At 33.8% G+C, this 21,451-nt stretch overlaps 1 protein-coding gene across 17 annotated transcripts in view; it reads right to left on the bottom strand.

Moving 5' to 3' along the window:
• ARAP2 (ArfGAP with RhoGAP domain, ankyrin repeat and PH domain 2) overlaps positions 1–21,451 on the bottom strand; it is a 239,381-nt gene that overhangs the window by 124,313 nt on the left and 93,617 nt on the right. For 15 of the 17 annotated variants that reach the window (XR_007096351.1, XR_007096352.1, XR_007096353.1 and 12 more), the window contains 5 exons: positions 21,184–21,328; positions 18,689–18,791; positions 17,832–18,030; positions 17,580–17,643; positions 3,510–3,673 (listed from right to left, as the gene is read on the bottom strand). Coding sequence is in view for 7 of the 17 variants with exons in the window: in XM_047449575.1 (XP_047305531.1) it covers positions 3,510–3,673; positions 17,580–17,643; positions 17,832–18,030; positions 18,689–18,791; positions 21,184–21,328 (675 nt within the window). In the remaining 10 variants the exon portion in view is untranslated. Of the gene's footprint in view, positions 1–3,509; positions 3,674–17,579; positions 17,644–17,831; positions 18,031–18,688; positions 18,792–21,183; positions 21,329–21,451 lie in introns of those variants that run through there. The other 2 variants (NR_146894.2, XM_047449576.1) reach the window with 2 other exon arrangements.

The raw sequence follows: 21,451 nt of genomic DNA on the forward strand, positions 1-21,451 counted from the left end.
TGCCCACTGGGTGAGAACCCATCCAACCTCATCACTTCTACATAAACATTTTAACTCAGGTTTTAATTTCCATGATTTCACACATACACACATATATATACACATACCATTACATATACATGCAACATACACACACACACACCCATACATCTTATGGCAAATCAAAATAACCCGAAGGAATTAATTCTCCTGCCCTGTTTACTACCTCACCTTCCACCCCCACCATGTTCTTTATCTTGTTCCTCTCTGCCTCAATATTTGGCATTGCCTTCTCCCTAGCCCTTTACAAGTCAGAGTATTTCTTTCTCAATCAGCACATTAAAAACAAAAAATGCAGTACTGCATCACATAGATTCTTCATCATGATCTCACTCTCAGAACTGCCCTCTCCTTTCCATCCCATATGCTATTATTTGTGGACTGAGTTCTTACTACATTGTCACAACTCCTTGCCCATATTCTTATGCAGCCCTCTGTGTGTCTCAACAATGATAACAGCATGATCTAAAATTCAGGTCTGTATGTATTAGCAACAAGCTTAAAAATCTGAATGCTGCCCTCCTGCTGCCTATGCGGCAAAGTTTGAGGATTTTAGTTTGCTATATAAAACCTTACCTGAATTGGCCTAACCTGTTGCCTTTTATATTGATCAACTCCTCCTTCTCACACTAAGCTCTGGCCACATTTAATACCACAAAGCTCCCAGCACAAACTTTGTGACTCGATACCTTGGCACACACTGTTTCTCCTCCTGGAGTCCCTATCCTCTTCTTCTAACTAGCTCCCATTTTCTCTTAGGGCTCATGGTAAGCACTGTGCTTTACCCATGAAGCTCTCTGTTTCCATGCCTTCTCTGGGTAAAATTTACCCCTACACCATGGACACCAGTAGCACCCCCTGAACCTCTTTACTAGAGAATTTTATACACTGACTTGTAACTGCTCATGTATTTGTCTCTTATTCATAAATCTGTAAACTCCTAGAAGGCAAAAATTATGTCTTATTTTCTGTGACATATCTCTGTATATATCCGGCAGTTACACAGTGCCTAGAACTACTCAGCACGTATTCAATAAATGACTGCTTAATGCAAGAATAAGCAAGTTCTACAAACATCAATGCTGACTAAGCGTTTGAGATAGTATATCCCCAGCTGAATGAATTTCTAATAGCTGGCACTCAAGTAAGTTAACTGAAAAATAATTTGAACATAATTTTGTTTATATAACTGAAATAATTTTCCCCAAGAACTAGTGTAATTTACTTTTTAAAAATTAAAGCCCTAAGAGTCATACTATGAACTCAGTCAAGTTCAAACCTTGACACAATGACACAATGAGCACAGAAAATTGGTCTTGAGATTTTAACCCACAGGTCAGGGGGTTCAAAATAATTGCTACAATGAAACCATCTGCATCCTATAATCACTGGGTGTTTTCTAAGTTTCTGTCAAATCTTTCTTCTATATATGCTGGCAGCATTGAGGTTTCCCCAACGTTCTGAATATAAATATATATATGATATAAACATACTATCATAGCAGGAAGCTTCTTATAGTAGTGCCCAATATGTGATTATGTATATACTTTCAGTAGATATATAATACAAACACAATTATATGTATAACTATATATAATATAAAAATATGACACATATTTATATATAATACATATACATCATATGTTATATAGGACTATATGTGTATATATATGAATATATGTATGTACACATATGTGTGTACATATGTAAGTGTGTGTGTATAACTATATAAACACAATCTTCCATTGGCTTTATTATTCTAACATGCAAGTGAAGGCATCTTGTAATAGAGGTATAAAGTTGTTATAATATATGAGTTTTAGTTGAAAAAATCGAATGCTGAGTTATTTTAAACTTAAATAAACACAAGGAAAATTCTGATTTCCCTAGAAAAACATTAAATTGGCTACATCAGAGCTAGTCAAGGTATTTTAATTATTTCTTGCTTAAGAAAGGCCTTATGCTATTATGAAACTAACATGGTATGAAGATTCCCAATAAGGTTATGCTCCTGCTAAAACATAACATATATGTGATTCATGTATAGCTGCAAAATGTACTAACACTGAGTGACTGTAACAAATGAAGGTAACATTCTCCTTCCTCTGTTTTTAAGTAAACAGATGGTTATAGCTAATAAGAAAAACATATCATAGCAGGAAACTTTTATAGTAATGCCCAAATATGTGGGCCTTATGTATATTTTTTCAGTAGATATATAACAAAAACATAATGAATCTGGACATTAATAATTGCACTTGAATTACATACAAAGTAAGAAAAATACTTAAAATGACACTCTCCCTAGAACAAGAGATTAAAATATGCCTAAGTTTAATTTCTGAAAAGTGTTTTCTTTATCCATATCATTAGTTCTGATATTTTGTTACATATCAGTGTATTATCAGTTTCCCATACTAGAAGATATGATTCATAGCTTTGTCTTGAACTTTTTACTTCCACCACTGTGTTTCTAAGAGTGAGACCAGTGACTGGCATACAACAAGCACTCGATAAAGAAGCAATGAACTAATAACACAATGCTTTACTGCAGCCCTCTCACTATTTGTACCTTCTTTTCAAATTAAAAACACCCAAAGACACCTCTAATATTAGGAGAATAAAAATTTTTAATACAGTCCAAAATATCAAATCATTTTCCTCTTTTCCACATTTGTGATCTAAATAAATGGCATTTATCTACAGGTTAAAAGGGCTCATGGTAACATTTTAACATTTTTACATTTAAAATAGGGTCAAGAAATTTACAGTCTGAAAGATATATGCAACAAAAGGAATTTGAAGAACTCATAACCATTTGAAAATAAACATGAAGAACAGAGGATATCTTTCAGGCATATCTAAAATACTAACATAGCATATAAAACTGACATGAAGCTGGACCATGGTACAGATCAATGTATTTTTTATCTGCAAACGATTCATTGAAATATCTGTTGAAAATGAGCACAAATTGTGAAAATTAATAGCTATGCTTCTGAATATAAACTACATGCACACTTTATGTATGCCAAAGAAAGCAAATTATTTGACATATTGTTCCACAGTTCATCACTTCTAAAAACATGCTTAGATGTGTTGTGTCACTGTAGGCTTTAATCTAGCCTTGTAATCTCTGAAAGATAGTCTTCAATCTACTATTTTTTCTTACTTGAATAAAACATATAATCTACTATTTTTATGTACATATTATAATTTAGATTATTTCAATGTTATGTAATATTTTATGCATATAAAGGAAGGAGCAAATGGTAAAAATGTATAGTTTAAATGAGTCTTATTGGGAGAAGGAATGGTAATTAGCTGAACAGTAAATCTGCCTTTATTTTTCACTAGGATACTTACAAATATAAAGGGTTTTAACTCAGTCCAATAGAGGTACCACTTAAAAACCTGTAAGAACGATACAATCAGTTCTAAGGGTTGAATAAAAACTCAGTGATACTTACCATACTGTGTAACAAATGCTATACAGCTGTTCACTATAATGGGAACGTCATTTTTGCTGAGCTGCTGATCTTGTAAAGCATTACCATCTGTACCTGCTGCTTTTTCAATTGCAGTATGCCAGACTGTGAAATCCAACTTGGTATGCCCATGGATGTATAATGTTCTGTAAAGTTTAAAAAGCATTTCAAATTATAATTTTGCTCTTTAAAAAAAAATCTTACTCCAAGACAGATTACCCTAAAATCCACACAATCATGCAAGACAAACTCTTCTTTTATCTCATCCACCACGAGCTTCCACTCAATCCCTCTTTTGCCTGCATAGTCACATCACTCCATAGCATTGAGGAAGCTCTCTGAATTTATGGTCTCACTTCTTTTCATTCCCTAGCCTCTTTTATTCTCTTTCTGAATAACTAAACTAAAACCATTGTGGCTATCACCTGTGACTTCTGACGGATATTTCTGGTTACGTTTTTTAAGGTTTTAGAATTGTCGATTTTATTTCTTAAAAAGAGAAAAAAACTAGCATTCAATTTGAATTTTATAGCATAATTCTTTCTGGATTTTCCTCCTATCATTCTGGTCACTTAGTCTCTTTCCCAATCTCACTTCCTCTTTCTGAATGGCAAAGTTGTAACCTCAGCACACACAAAAGCTCCATGGACTCTCCAGGGACATGCCATTCAGGCCAGTAGTTTAATCTTTTCACATAAATTAGTTTACTTCCAAATCCCTATCTCCAGGCTGTAACTTTCATAAATCAGATCTCCATGTGACTGAAAAGCAGGAGAATAGAGCACCTGAGAGTGGGAATGACAATCAGACTTTTTGAACTTAAATTTTAGCTCTGCCATTTACTTCCTTTGTAACTTTAGACAAGTCAACCTTATTTTTGCTTCAGTTTCATCATTGGCAAAATAAATATAATAATAGCACCTAGGACAACACTCAATAGACGTAACATTAATGACTAATGTATAAACTATACTACTAAAGAATATTTATATTTGAGCATCTTCACCTTAATGTGCAATAAGCATATCAAAGCTTTTGCTCTCCCATACCAAGCTTCTGGCACCAAAAATTTTCCACGTACCCCACGAGAAATTTAGGATTAACTAAGTGTAGATCAGTCTCTTTACCCAACCACTGCCACATGTCTTCAGTCACAAAATTCTGTTGACTACAGTTTCCCAATGTATTCACTCTGTCTCCTCTCCTTTCCAAGACTGCCTTATTTCAGATCTTCATGTTGTTCTTTCAGGTCACTACAGCCCCTCCTTACAGAATTCCTTTCCCAATTCTCAACCCCTGTAATGTCTACTCCTCACTATTGCCAGAATGATCTAAAACGCAAAGCTAATGACATCACTTCCAGATCACTGTCTTACAGTTCTTGAGTTTTCAAGATAAAAAGTCTTCATAATCTAGCCTATATTTTTACCTGCAACTTGATCTGTCATTCTCCTTTACTTAAGGTACTCAGGAAACATAAACACACACAAATACACACACACACACACACACACACACCCTCCTGGATTCTGTAATACATATTGCCTGCTCTTTGGCTGGCTACTCCAAACCTTCCCCCAGAATTATACTCCAGGTAAAACTCCTTAACACTGTTCCTGATCTCCCTCTTATGCTTAGTATGTCACAGATACTCCTTCTCAATCTTTCACTGATGGCTTTGTCCTGCATCATATCACCTTCTGTAGCTATCTGAATGTTTTAGCCACGAAACTCCAACCTTTACACAGGCAAGCAAAGAAAGTATTTCAGTATCTCCGGTCATTAGCATAGTGTCTGGCATTTAGTGGATACATAGCAGTTTTAAAGACCTATCACTAGATACAAAGTTTGCTTTAAAACATAAACTAATTGTTGATGTATTTTAAGTCTATTTACACCAAAGTAAAACGATATAATCTTGATTTCAGACTTGACAGGGCTAGTTTATATTCAACCCAAAGAGGCATGAATAAACCGCATGAATTCTGGGGCTTTGGGGGCCAGGTGTGGGTAATAAGGAATGTAATCTTTTACATTTCTGATAATCACTGTACCTAATATAAAAAGAGAAACAAAAAACTTCCTTTCTTTCCTTTGTTTTCTTTCTTGAAATGCTCCTGTAAGAAGACAAAGATACCTGCACCTTACCACACTCATTTTTAACATCTGAACTTGCTATAACTACTACTGTTTTACTAATACTGGTGCTTGTAATCTTCATCTCTTGCTTTTTGACGTCTTTATCTATTGTTTCTATTTTCCACAACACTACAGCAGTCCTGACCTCCAGGTGTTGTAATTTTCTTTTTGAAGAATTCTGAAATTTGCACTAATACACCTGACATGCTACAGCCTTTTCATTGATCTTATATCATCTTTAGCTCAAAAGTATTCTATTGCTGGATGTATTTGTCTAACTGAAATCATATAACTCAGATAATTTTTTGAGAAACATCAAACCTCTTGATTATGTGAACTTAATCAAAATTATGTCTTGCTATATTCACAAGTTTAGGTAAAGAGAAAAAACTTTTACATAATTTATCTAATAATTCAGTTTTAAATATGATATAAAATCTTTGTAACTATTTGCTTATAAACAACTACAACGGGTGTTTTAGCAAGCAGTGAAAGAAATCCAAAATGCAGTGGCCCTCCTACAATATGAGTATAATTCTGCCATAAACTGTGACATTTTTGAACTTCAAATTTTCTTTCTAGTCAGAAAAAAATCCACTGATGATGAGTTGAGCTGTCTCCTCATGAATTAGTGAAGAGTAGAACTTTCTCAACTTGTCAAAGGGCGAATCCTAAAATATATATGTAGTGCAATAGATGGTTTGACATTTAATAGCATTGGTGCACTAACTTTCCTCTCTGATGCTTACCTAAAATTTGTGGACACTGAATAAAGCATCGAAAGATATTTTCAACACAAATGCTGGATGACTTTGAGATTTCAAGTGTTATCAAATTCACATTCCTGGATTCGAATTCCAAAGAAACATTTACTTATATCCTGACAATCTGAAAAGTAATGTTGATGAACTCTAATTACAGAGAAATTAGTTATGCTAATTGTCTATTTTCTAAGCATAAATTCCAAAGGGCACTTCAAAGCCATATAAAGAAAAATTCTTATTTGCTATAATGAATCAAGACAGTTCAATAAGACCTTAGAAACCAAGTCCTAGGACTAACAAAAACAATTATATTAAAACTGCAATATAATAACCATGAAGCATAAACAATCATATTTGAGCCTAGTCTATGACAAGAACCAGAAGTGCCTTCACAAATAATAGATCAATAAACTTGACCACATAAAAAATAAATATGCTCATATAAAAAAGATTTTAAACAAAACTGAAAAGCAAATGAAATACTCTACAAATATGGCTGGAAAAGATAATATCCTAAGGATTTATACAAAAATAAAATAGTAAGTCTTCCACAGAAATACGGTTATCAGCCATGGAAAGGTAAGTCACAGAAAGAATTAGCCGATGTAACCACAAACCAGTCTAAGAATCAAATATATGTGTGTGTGTGTGTGTGTGTGTGTGTGTGTGTGTGCGTGTCTGTGTATCTCAGTCCTATCACACCTAAGATTCACAAAACAGAATTTCCTGAGCAACTTATTACAAAGTCACACTATTAGAATGGACACACACATACACGCGCGCGCGCACACACACACACACACACACACACATATACACGTATATATGTAAAATCAATGATGTGTCAAAGGCAATTTATCAAAGATCTAAAATGTTTAATGTTCATCACTGGAGTATAACAAGATGAGCATAGCATTTTAAAGGCTGATGAGATACTCTAAAAATAAATTTGAAAATATGTTCTAAGAATCTTAAAATACGTATGCATTAGTTTTGACAATTAGTTCCAACCACAGGACTCTTTCATAAGTACATGATTTGAAATGAAGGCACAATATCTGTTTCTTTCAATATATTTCTGTTCCTCTCTCATGCACATGTGCACATGCACACAAACACATGCATTTAGCCAAGCATTGCAAAAATGGAAATAAGTTGAAATCCCAAAAACTAGGGAAAGGTTAAGTGATTTAGCTACATCCAGAGATATATATTATAAACTTAGTACAATGAGCAGAGAATGCATAATCGCACATATGTATAAATCCAATTGCATTTCCTAAAATGTTAAATTAACTCTGTGTAGAAAACTCATGGACATTTTGTTTCCTTCTTTATACATGTCTGTGTTTTTAAAAATGTAATTAGAAACAAATCACATAAGCCGAAGTTTTGACTGATCCCTTAAAGGAAAAGATATTTAAAGCCGTCTGAAACATGCCATCTTAGACTGTCATTGAGCTTTTGAGCCAGAGAACTGGAAATATCTCTGCCAAGTTTTTTTTTCCATATATGACTAGGAAACTAAGAGCCAGAAACAACGTGTTTAAGGTATCAGAACTAGGTAGGAATTGCACATTTGAGCTACTCAGTACTAGCCTAGTTCATGAGCTTTCCTTTACCTGAGGAATCAGATCTCCATAATTTAAAACTCTGGTCCTCGAGTCCAAAAATACTTATTCCAGAAGTGAAATGCTGATGTGTATTTCTGTTGCCTTTCTTCTTAGTCCTATCACACCTAAGATTCATGAAACAGAATTTCCTGAACAATTTATTACAGTCACACTATTAGAATGGACGTGAAAGATGATCTACTAAAGCCACTCATAATAGAAGACCTATTTCTCTTCTTCAAGACTGTACACTTACATTCTGCCTTGAAAAGCATCCTAGGCATGTTGGAAATGTAATGCATAGGACTTTGGAAGATAGCTTTAGAAGGGTATGCTGTGCATTTTTCTTTATACTTCCTAAGCAGCCTCTCAAAGAAGACCCTACTTCTCATCCAAATAAGCTTTTGGGTTTGTTTTCTTCTGGAAAAGTATGAATTGTGTTATTTCTGTGAGTGATGTTTGGTCATTAGAATTTTTAATGAACTCATTTTAAGTGTATGGTTTGAAATATTTTTGCAAATGTGTACACTTGTGTAACTACCACCATGATTAATATGTAGACCATTTCCATCACTCACAATGTTCACTCATAACTCTTTGCATTGCATTCCTTTCCCCACCCACAATCTTAGGCAAGAACTTATCTGCCTTCTCTCACCATTCATTAGTTTCCCAGCTCTAAAGCTTCATAGGAATGGAATTACACAGTATTACTCTTTTGTGTCTGGCTTCTTTTATTCAGCACAATGTTTTTTAAGATTCATTCATGTTGTTGTTAATATAGGTCCCTTTATAATGATAATCAGTACTTCACATATGAACACATACCATACTCTGTTAACACATTCACTGACTAAAAATCATTTGGGGTCTCCTCACTTTATATCATAAATAAAGCTGATTTGAATATTTGTATAGGAGTCATTTTGTGGACATATATTATGATTTGTTTTGGGCAAATACCTAGCAGCTCATTTGTTGGGATGTATAGTTAAGTGTAAACCAACTGTATTATTTTAAAAAACAAAAACCTGCTAAACTGCTTCCCAAAATGAATGTACTATTTTACAATCCCACCATACTTGCCAACACTTTGCACTGCCACTTTCTAAAAAACTTAGTTTTTTCAGTGTGATCTCACTGTGGTTTTAATTTGTATTTCTCTGGTACTTAACTTTACATGTGCTTGTTGGCTATTCATAGACATCCTTTTAGACATTTCTATTCATCATTTTTTGCTATTTTATTGGGTTTTTGTCTTCTAGTTATATGTATTCTGTCCATGTTTTGGATATGAGTGCTTTATCAGACACGTGTATTTTGAATAGTACCAGTGTATGATTTCATTTTATTAACCATGTTGCTTAAAGAACAAATTATAATTGAGTTTTTAACTTATAATTCCAATACTTGTGATTTTTTCTAATTTCCTTGCTTTATCATATTAAACCCACAATATTAAATAGAAGTGGTGGGAATAAATATGTTTGCCTAATTCCTGCATTTGAGAGAATTTTTTGATTATATCCAATGTGTTAAATTCATTGGTATGAAGTTGGTCGTAATATTTTCTTATATTTTAAATATTAAACTGATGCACAGTTTTATAACAATGGTGATTTGTATCTTCTGTCCTATCTTCTAGTTAGAGTTTTATCAATTTTCTTAACTTTTCCAAAAAAAGTTAAAAATTTATTAAATAAATTGATTATTTCAAAGGACCAGCTATTTGTGGCTCAGATTTTTTAAAAATATATTCCGTTTATTCATTCTTTCTACTGTCTGTATCAATTCATTCTCTGAACCACTTTGGGTCTAATTTGCTCTTTTTTAGATTTTTAAGGTAAAAGTTTAGAGGATGGATTTTAGTGTAAGCATTTAAAGCTTCAAAGAGGATTTGATTTAGTGTAAGCATTTAAAGCTTTCAACTTCCTTGTAAATAGTTTTATAGCTCCATCACACAAATTTGATGTTATGATTGTATTATCATTGATCAAATATTTCCTAATTTTTCCTGTGATTTCTACTGTGAAGTATGGCTTATTTGGAAGCATGTTTAACTTCCAAATACTCAGGAATTACTCTGCAATCCTTTCCAGAATAAGGCAAGTTATGAATTAAATTCAATAGAAAATACTAATAGAGTATCAATCTATCTTTCCAGGCCCATTGTCACATGTGTCCTCCTCAAGCACTCAAGGTTAAGGCCAACCCATACTGAGGTTGTTTCTAGCCCATCCTATTTCTCTGAACCTATTATTTCCACCTCTTGGACTACCTTAGTGTCTCAGGCCCCCTTCATTTTTTCCTACTAAAGTCCTTCATTGGATTGTAGATCCAGATAAAAATACTTTTCTTTAAAAAACAAAACAAAAACAATACACACACACACACACACACACACACACACACACACATCTTAGAGGGATTTGCTCATTCTTTTGTCCATTTTTTCCCCATCATATCATACTTATTTCTTCATAAGCTTATCTCCTGGTACATAGAGGTACTTTGAACTAACTGAAACAAAATTGTTGAAGCAAATAATACACGTTTTAAAATCTACCTTTTGTTAATAGACATACATTCCCTTCTTCATAATTTTCTTTAACATAAAATCACTTAATATTTGTTTTGTAATAGTCTCTTTCTTTTTTAAAAACCTGTGGGAGTGGTGAGAGAAGAGAATCTCTTGTTTGCCTTGGCAATATTCAGATTAAGCCATCTCTAAGAATTAAATCATCAGAAAGTTACAAAAGCAGTCAAGCTTATATTGTGGGCAATAGGCTACTGTTTAATTTGCAATTACATGCACAATTTAAAAACCACTTTAAGATAATTCAGCCTCTGGAGTATTGCTAACATATTAGCTGCTATAAAACACATTCAAGGGGGAGAAAAGATCATATGGAATAAGGTGATAGGAAATAAGGAAAACTAAACTTAGGGTGCTAATCTCCCAAACTGAGAAAAGTAATCTGTTCCATAATTGTGAAACATACTGATAAAGTGTTTATTCCCCAGTATTAAGCTTCTTTATGTGAAGAATTTGCAATTAAAACTAAAATGCAGTCAAGCTTGGGAGACATCAAGTGTATTATGCTTTATTATATATCAACTAAGGAATGTAAAACAAAAAAACACACTAGCCTTTTCTGTTTCTGATAACACAGTTTACTTATTCACACTGTGTTTATTAGAACCAACAACCTTTCAACAAAAGCATAATAAGTGTCTATGGCAATGGGCATGCAGCTATGGAATGTGAAAATGGTAAACACAGTAACTTATTTCTTAGAAAAAGATATGCAGAAGATGTAGGTTAAAGTGCAAAAATAGTTCTCAAATTTTGAGAAAAAGATGTAATTTCTTGAACATTTCAGTCAAAGTGATGATACAATTTCCTACCGTCCAGGAAAATGCCTTCTGCCTTCCTGGTCTAGAATATTCACTAACAAGTGATATTTGACAATATTATTTTTTTATTTGCACAAACAGTACTAAGGTCTAAAAGAAAAGCACAGGATCTAAGTCCCAATAACAACATCAAATAGCATGCCAGAAACCCCTAAGTGTGATCAAGAAAGCTTTATTTTCCAAAATAATTTTTAAAGTATACAAGGAATACACATTAAAACGACACCATCTGGAACACCTTCTGTTTAGAGCTTTTTAGAGCAAAAATGCTGTGTGTGTGGAAAATATTATTGCAATATTTTTCTGTCTAAAGACACTCATGCTATGCATATAGAGAAAATGACCATGAAGATTAAAATATCTATCTAAATAGTGACTATATACAGGGGATAATTATCAATTTATGAACATTTCCAGTTTAGGGGGTTCTTTCTCCTCTTTGCCTTTAAGAAACATTAATGTAGTTTAGCATTTTAATCAAAGGTAGATAAGAACAGGAAAAATATGTGAAATTAATTCATTAAATTTATGTATGATTTACATTTCTGGCTCAAGCTGTTACTAGCAAAAATATAAGGTTCAAGCTTATAGCTGGTTGGTTTCTCTTTCTTTCAATCATTCACACTATCTCTATAGGCCAACAGTATAAATAATTGGAAGTTGTGTTACTTCCAAAAGCCACAATTTTATCTGTCACTGACAAGTCCAACAGAATCTACCATTGCTGACAGTCATCATTTCCCAAAGGGCTAATAGATCAAAAGGGAGATGAAAACAAGGGTGGTACAATGAAATTTTCTCATTTTGGCATGGTACTGAAACAGCTTTTCAACAATCACAGCTATAATTAACTAGCTATGTTTGAGTACTGGGAGAGAAGTGCATATTCTCTATCTTGGCAAATGATACTATCATTCATAGCATCACCCATGCCAGAAGCTCAGGGATCATCACTCTTATCTCCTAGTTCACAAAGCAATTGAAAATTGACTGGTATCTCTCTCAACATCCCACTACCACATGGAGAAAACTATCAACATCCAAAATCATCCATCAATTCTTCTTTTCTTACTTTTGCAGTTGAGGGATCTTGCTCTCTTGTTTGTACTCTCTCTTAGACCTTCAATCTCTCCCATTTTCTGTTTCTTTTCCATCAAAATTTAAACTTGTGTAAGTTTAAGCCATCTGAAAACAAACTGCACATATATGCCCTTTCTGGGTCAAACCCCTTACCTCGTTAATCCTATGAACCTCCCTCCAGATATCTTTGACAAAGTGACCTCACTAGCTGTCTTGGTTTACTCAATTTCCATTCTTAATCTGATCTAGTACCTGCCTGTTCACTTCTGCTCTCCCCCAAGTCACCAGAGGGACTCCAAATCACTTATCTTATGGAGTATGTATTCTCACTAGGCATGTCCTTCTGTCAGCACTTGACATTTTTAACTGATCCTTCCTTTTTGAGACACCCTCTTCCTGGGCTTTGTAACACTTTGTACTCTCTCTTAGTTTCTGGCCTCACTCTCTGAGGAAACAAGCAGCTACTTCTCCCTGACAAATTCCCCTAACCCAAAATGATGTATAGTCATCAAAGCTCCAACACAGGACTTCTTCCTTTTTATTTCCACAGAATCACCCTAAGTAATTTCACTTTCTTCCTTCTTTACGCTGGCAACTCCAAAATCTGTATCTCCAATCTGTTAATCTTTTCATGAATATCTTATCCATAAAAAATAACTTTCTCCCATCAATTTATTCTTAGATTTCTTATAAGAATCTCATGCTCAACATGTCTTAAACTCATTATCTCCCAGGCTCTCTCCCAAACCTGCTCCTTTTTCCACTATTTCCTATATGATGTCTATGTAGTCACAGAATACACAAACATATGTTTATGTGTCTATGTAAATAAGTAGATATGAGACTCTGTTTTGCACCATACAGGGTGCTGTGCCTGTCACGTATGTATAGTCTTTGTTCTTGTTCTATCAGGGTTCATAACCTCACATTCTTGGCATCTATTGTGCAGATTCTTTACTTTTATGCACACGGTGGACCTCCCTTCTCTCTACTCCATTTTCAATTAGGTAGGAATTCTATGGACACGTTTTCTAATAATTTTATAAAAATGTTTTCTAGTAAACATTTTTATTTTTCTAATAAATGCTTCAATTTTGAATTCTAGTAACTTATAGTGTCTATCCAGACTCCTAGAACACTTGTTGCTTTATATCCTGAGAAAGATCTCTACAAAGGTATTGGTAAATTAATACTGAACACTTGATTTTTAAAAAAAAATTTAAGTTACAAATTGACCTTACTTTAACTTCAAAATGAATTATTTTCCTCAATACCATATAGGCAAAAGAAGGCTGTTTAAGTACTTAAAATGGGGCTTGGCACATGGTAACTGCCCCCATTGTCATCATTGTTATTATCAGATGATTATTGATTTGGAGTAAAAAGGAAAAGCAAGTAAACCAAAGACAGAAGCATGTGATAATATAATTGCGTTTAAATGGTGGGGATGGTACATTAGCTATACGAAGAGATTTACAGAAAGTAACTTGGTTATATTTATCCTCACATTTCTCCCACTCCTATTATTACTCTTCACTTTCATAAAAATACTTTGAACATAACTTGTTAGTAACACATGTAGACGAAAACTTTCAATTACCAAAAATGTTATTAACTGTCTGTGACCATTATTTTGGAATTTCATTAGTTTTCTACTTTTCCATGAACTCAAAAATAATATTACAAATGAATTTCATCTCCTGATTTCTGCAGTCCAGCGGTAAGATCAAAATGTACAAAATAATAAAACATTTAGTGCTCTGGCTTCCATATCTTCCATATATGAGGGGCTGGACTGCATGCAGTAAGCACTAAATAGAATTACATTAAACTGAATCATTCTAATCCATGTTTGCTACATTTTAATTAAAACCTATGTATCATTGGCCAAATACTCCATAGGTTAAAAAAAAGGGTACAAAAATACGTTGGTTATAATAACCTGAAAAAATGAAAAGGATAAACACATTTGTTAAGCTGATACTTGTCTATTTGTTTAAGAACATAAGCTCTGAGGGGTCAGACACCAAGTTTGAATTGTTTACCTTTTTTATTTTCCTGCCATGGAAGTAGCAGTTAGTAGGCATTCCATAAATATTAATAAATGATTGTAAAACTGCATTTATGCTAGTATTTTAATGTCAAATCCTATCTATACCTAATAATTCCTCATTATTTCTGGACATAAAATTAACAATACTCTCACGGTATAGTGAAATCATCATCTAGTAACAAAAATAAGAATCTAAAGTATCATTAACCATAATAATCTAAGAAATAAGTAAAAATGCAAAGTCCTAATTACGCCTAGAAGCTAAAAAACACAATCTGACATAAATATCTAATCAGCAATATGCTCGCTGTATAAAGCTCTTGATGTCGTCCCATGAAGTTGAAGGAAAGGCAGGTTCAGATAACCACTGAAAGTCATTATCCTTGTCACAGCAATAAAAATAATCAAATGAAGGCTTATTTAGCTATATTTTTATATCGCAGTTAAACATTGAACAAGATAAGATTGAACTGCACAGATCCCTTTATACACAGATTTTTCTTTTGCCTCTGCCACCCCTGAGACAGCATGATCAACCTCTCCTCCTCCTCAACCTACATATATAAAGACGACACAGATGAATACCTTCATGATGATCTACTTCCACTTAATGAATAGTAAATATGTTTTCCCTTATGATTTTAATAGCATTTTCTTTTCTCTAGCTTACTTTATTGTAAGAATACAAATAATCTTGCACTATTATACAGCAAACCATACTGAACCAGTGTAATTAAGAGTTTTTTTAAGCAAATTACAAGAAGCCAAGGGGAAAAAAACCAATTTGTTGAAGAAGAAAGGCAGTTTGAAGATTTCCCAAAGAACTAAAAATAGAACTACCATTTGATCCAGCAATCCCACTACTAGGTATCTATCCAAAGGAAAAAAAAATGGTTCTACCAAAAAGACACCTGAACTCATATGTTTATCACAGCACTATTCACAAGAGTAAAGACGTGGAATCAACTCAAGTGCCGATCAGTGGTTGACGGGCTAAGGAAAATGTCGTCATATATACCATGGAATACTACACAACCATAAATAGGAATGAAGTCAAGTCCTTTGCAGCAACATGGATGCAGCTGAAGGTCCTTATCCTAAGTGAATTAACACAGAAACAGAAAATCAAATACTGCATGTACTCACTTATAAGTGGGAGTTAAACAATGAGTTACATGGAAATAGAGATGGAAATAATAGACACTGAGGACTCCAAAAGTGGGGACCAAAGGGGGCAAGGGCTGAAAAACTACCTATTGGGTGCTACGGTCACTATTTGGGTGATGGGCTCAATAGAATCCCAAACCCTAGCACTACACAATATATCCATGCAACAAACCTGCACATATGTAGATATGTGCCCCTTGAATCCAAAATTAAAAATAAAAGAAACTGTCTTCCTTATTGCTCTGGTATGTCCCTGGCTGCTCCTTCCTAGGCTTCTTTGTGTGATCATTCTCCTATTCTAGACCTTTACATATTGGGGGACCTCCGGCTATGTCTTCAACTCTCTTTTCTAGCTATACTCTCCATGAGGTGAACCCGTCCAGTTCCTTGGCAAAATAGCGTCAACACAGTGGTGACTCCCAAATTTATATCTCCAGATACAACCTCTTCACTTAATTTTAGACATGCGTATTCAACCGCTTACTCACCAGATCCACTTTGCCACCAAAGAGACATCTCCGAGTTACCATTCCCAAAACCAAACTCTTGATCTACTGTCTTAAACTTACTAATATCCTACACCTCTATTCTCCAAGAATTTGTTCTCTCAAAAAAACAGCACCATAATTCAGTAATTGTTCAGGTCAAAAATTCTGGGATCATCCTTGACTCTTACACTTATCTAATCCATCAGCAGATCCTGACACCTCTAACTTCACGAAACATCCACTCACTCCTATTCTCAGGTAAGTCACTGCTTTCCTGCCCAGCATCCTGACTAAACACCCACTTTCACTTTTGTCCCCCAGAAGCTTATTCATCTGGAGTCAGAGTAATCCTGTAAAAACATAAATCAGACCATTCCACTCCCCAGCTCTCAAACTGAGCAGCTTCCCATCATATTTTGATTAAATTTCAAATATTCACACATCATGACCGATAAGGCCCTACATGATCAGGTTGTGGGTATCTCTGAAATCATTTCTTCCCACTCTCTCTTTCATTCAAATATTCCCAGCCACCACAGCTTCCTTGCAGAACTTGGACATGCCAAGCACAACACACTCTTAGCGTTTTCAAATACCCTTGGCCCTACACCTGAAATACTCTATCTGGATTACTGCAAAGTTTACTTTTTCGTTTTATGAAGCTCTTTCATTCAAGATCTCTTTTCTTAGCTAGCAAACACGGATACTATCCCATCAGACTATTTTTATATTGCTTATTTTTCTGTGTAGAATTTAAAATTGATGGACAGAATAGCATATAATTATTTTTGTCTGCTTACACTGTTTTCCCTAATAATATACATGTTTCATGATGGTAGGGACTTGTCTGTTTACTCATCATGATATCACCAATACCTTTAAGAGTCCCTGATGCACAGTAGATGCTTAATAGTTACTGAAAAACTGAATAAATTCAAGAAATCAAGTTTTAGCTATGCATGACCCACATGCATAGATAATTCAGAATATAATTTATAGTCATCATATTCTTACAATGAAGATATATTTATAATTACCAAACTGCTTTCCAAATATTTAAATGCAAATGTCACAGAGGAATCTAGGTCTATAGAAAACTATACAATAATTGATCACAATAAGTTTGTCATAAAAATTATAAAGATATGTAAATATCATTGGTATAGTCTTTCCAAAGAGAGCTAATATATACTATATATGTATATTTATATGATTCAGAAAATTTCAACAGGTTTTAAAATATTGTTTTCTCCCTCAAGATAATAACAAAAAACAAAATCCCGCTGCCCAGAGTTGTTGAGATAAGGAATAAAAAGCAAAAAGGCACTTACCTCCCTTTTTCTACCAAGAGTAAAACATCCAGTTTTTCCCCATTTTGAACCATTGTGCTGATTGCTGAAGGGAGAATGAAAAGCAAAAATTTATTTTTTAAAACACTGTAATAAACACCCATGAAGACACAAATATTAATACTGCTTAGTCATAAGTTTGGGAGTAAGCCATCAAGATCTTACTAAAGGCTATCACTATTGTATGCAATAAAGAAAAGTGTTCCAAAGATAAGGGAAGAAAAAAGCTCTTACTTAGCTCTTGCAGTCTTCTTAAGTGCATTCTATCTCCCTGAACTTCTTGCATTTGAAGGCAAAAATGCAAGCTGGATTTGTCCATAGCAAACCAGCCTTTTCTCCACTGATCCAGGGCATGGCAGTCTTTGTAGAAGAGTTGACCAATCAAATCATAGTCAGCTTCTGTTAAGTTTTCAGCAAATAAGGGAACAAAATGCTGTTAAAACAAATACAAAAAAGTAATAAAGACAGTGAAAATAGGAAATCCCTTCCCTATCTACTGATATGAGAGAAGGTAGACAAATTATCTTAGTTTTTCAATTTTAAAGATTCAAAGGTAACACCAAATTCAAAACAACTAAACTTGCTATCAGTCTTAAAACTGAACAACTATAATGCATTTTCAAATGGCAGCATCTTAAACCATTTTTCTTGCTATGTATAGAGTTGAAACTGCAAGGCATTCTCTTAACTGATTTGTGGAACTTTTCAAAATGTCAACCTTCAGCATTTTTCTCCATTTATATATTTTCCTGAATCTGCTCTTTTCTCCTTTGTGTATACCTTGAATAAAATATCTACCTATAAAAAGACTTATACAGAAATGACTTTACAGTATTGAGAATATCCTAACCATCAAAAACATGGCCTTAATTTGAAGAATGATTTCTCCAAGTCTTACTTTAATTTCTTCCCTGCTTAAGGCTCCTAGAAGGTAGCTACCTCTTTTGACTACTTTTTTTGAAAATCTAATGAAGTATGAACTTTATTCCTACAATCTTATATAAAACTTTCATGGACCCCTGAAGCTCAAACACAGACTCCCAGTTCACAATCTTCTCTGGATTTAGAGCAGTAACATAATATTTAAATACCTTGGCTATTGCCTCTGTCCATTTTCTTTGAGCTTGAGATGTTTCAGCTCCAAATAAAAACACACGTTCGGAGGGTAAGTAGATCTCAAAGATAAAGATGGGCCTAAAACATGCACAAATAAAAAGATACTACCAGTTATATTTAGCTCTTAAGAAAATGAATAACACAAAGGTCATGTTTTTAATTAAATTCCTTTTAAAATAAACTAATGTTATGAAATCATCCTATTAGATTCTGTTAATGGTTTGCATTTTATTCAAATGAGGTAAATGGAACACACTGGATTGGACAAAAGGAATATTTTGTATAATCATTTAATCATTCTATTGTATAACTTTGTTTATGCCCTGGACACTCATCAGTTGACTGATGTAGCAAAGGGCTCTCCTTGGTCTCCTCTTCCCTCTCTCACCACTCCTTCTTGATTTACTCTGACCAACTGTTCAAAGCAAACACTGCCCAAACAGTTTTTAACCCTCTTCTTTTCTAACTTCAAATGGTCCCAGTCACACAGCAGGTTCCCTCCAGAACACAAACACATCAAGCATTAAATCTTACAGTTTTCCTAAGAAAGATAAATTTTCCTTTCATCATCTCAACTTACCCCAAATTTCTTATTCTTACTATAGATCAAATTAAAGCGACATTCCATGCTCTGAATTCTTTCCTGAGTTCCTCATTCACAACTCCATTTATTTCTTAGCACATGCTAAGTATGTGTGCTATTCTTACCTAAAAATCTCAAAATACCCTATGCTAAAGTCATCTTCCTTTCTCCTCTTTTCCACCCCAAGCCTGTTGTATCCCCTTCATGTCCTAATTTAGAAGCATCACAATCAATCTCATCACAACAAGCTCAAAACCCTTGAGTGTAACTTGTTCTTCCCCTTAACATCAACTCTTGTCCAGTCAGTCATTTAATCTTAGCAGTTCACCCTCTTCCTCTAGTTAAATTCTCAACAATTAGTCTCTCTTCCTCCAATCTCCTTACCACTTCTTCCAGCTCTCTTCCTAAAATATGTCTATATAAATCTTCAGTGCCTACATTATTGAGGTCATACTCTCCAATGTGTTATTTGAGGCAATTCAGCAAGAATTTTATGGCAACAATTATTTTTTAACCACATCTCATTGTAGATACTTTCTCTCTGCATAGCTACTTGTATCAGTAATGTTATCAAGAATATTTTAAACATATTAATATGCTGATATAAACTATTCTTTTTTATATTTCATTTACTACTTAGTAACTTAATATATAGAATCTACTTATTTTAACATTCCATAAGTCATATTACATTGAATAATCATTTAGAGTAAAAGCACTATTAAAACAAAAACAAGTCAATTAATAATCAGTTTTGTTCACATCAAAAATCAAATCAGATTTACTATAAAACAAGTCATCTCAACTAGTCATCATATAATAAAGGTAATATGTTCAATGTAGTTTTATGTAAATAACAGCTTTGCAAATCTCTTTCCTTTCTCATATAAAAATCTTATTTAAAATCTATGCTCCTATAAAACTTTTTTCAGATTTTAATATCAATGTTTTTCATTAATTACATCAAAAAACATGATAAGACACTTTCACACCAAAGATCTTAGATGGCCTGCTTTTAAAGTCCTGACAAAGATTTATTTAAACCATAGTAGATGTGAGTCAAATATATTACATAAATAATGCTTAATCTATTCATTGTTACTTTTTTCTGACCATTAAATTAACAAACAGCTCTTTAAGAAATTTAGCATTTCAATATGCTACTAAATATTGTTTATTTTAATGTGAACAGATCGTCATAGAATATTCTCCTTTCTTACCTGTTTTAATTATGATACTCATTAAATGAATAAATGAATTTTACCACTAGTCCACTATTTTAAATAATAAGTAACAAAATTAAATGACTATAATGGTCATAAGTGATATGCTATACATTTACATAAGATTTGGCCAGGCACGGTGGCTCACGCCTGTAATCCCAGCACTTTGGGAGGTCGGGGTGGGCGGATCACTTGAGGTCAGGAGTTTGAGACCAGCCTGGCCAATATGGTGTAACTCCATCTCCACTAAAAATACAAAAATTAGCTGGGTGTGGTAGCATGTGCAATCCCAGTTACTCGGGAGGCTGAGGCAGGAGAATCACTTGAACCCAGGAGGCGGAGGTTGCAGTGAGCCGAGATCGCCTACTGCACTCCAGTCTGGGTGATAGAGCGAGACTCCATCTCAAAAAAAAAAAAATTTACATAAGATTTGATTCGAAGATGCTAGCACTTCATATTACCTACTATAAATATTTTAGTCTTCCTACTTTGTAGTGAATTCCCAAAAGAAATTTCAGAAGGCGCAAGATAAGTAAGCTTCAAAAACCATTCAACCCTTCTATTAGAAGCAACTAAAGAACTAAAATGATAACAAAACTCTCATTACCTGTTATAATTATCTGAAAATACCTTTTACCTCCTAATTGTGTAATGACAGACCTACCCAGTATTTAAATAGAAGTCCTCTTTGTGTATAGCCAGGCAGATAACTTCATTGATATTAATGGTGCCATTAGGTGTGGTAGACTTATCATTTTCATAGTAACTCAAGAAGCCTCCTTCCAAAACACACCATTTTTTATTTGTCTCTAAGAATTTGAAACAAAACAAATAACAAATTGAGCTAATCACGAATCCAATTTTAAAAACAAAAACATACTTCTAAATAATGGCTGGATGCAAGTAAATAAATTTATTAATTTCCTATTTCA

Source organism: Homo sapiens, chromosome 4 (assembly GCF_000001405.40).
Source record: "Homo sapiens chromosome 4, GRCh38.p14 Primary Assembly".
In the NCBI taxonomy this organism is placed as follows: Eukaryota; Metazoa; Chordata; class Mammalia; order Primates; family Hominidae; genus Homo; species Homo sapiens.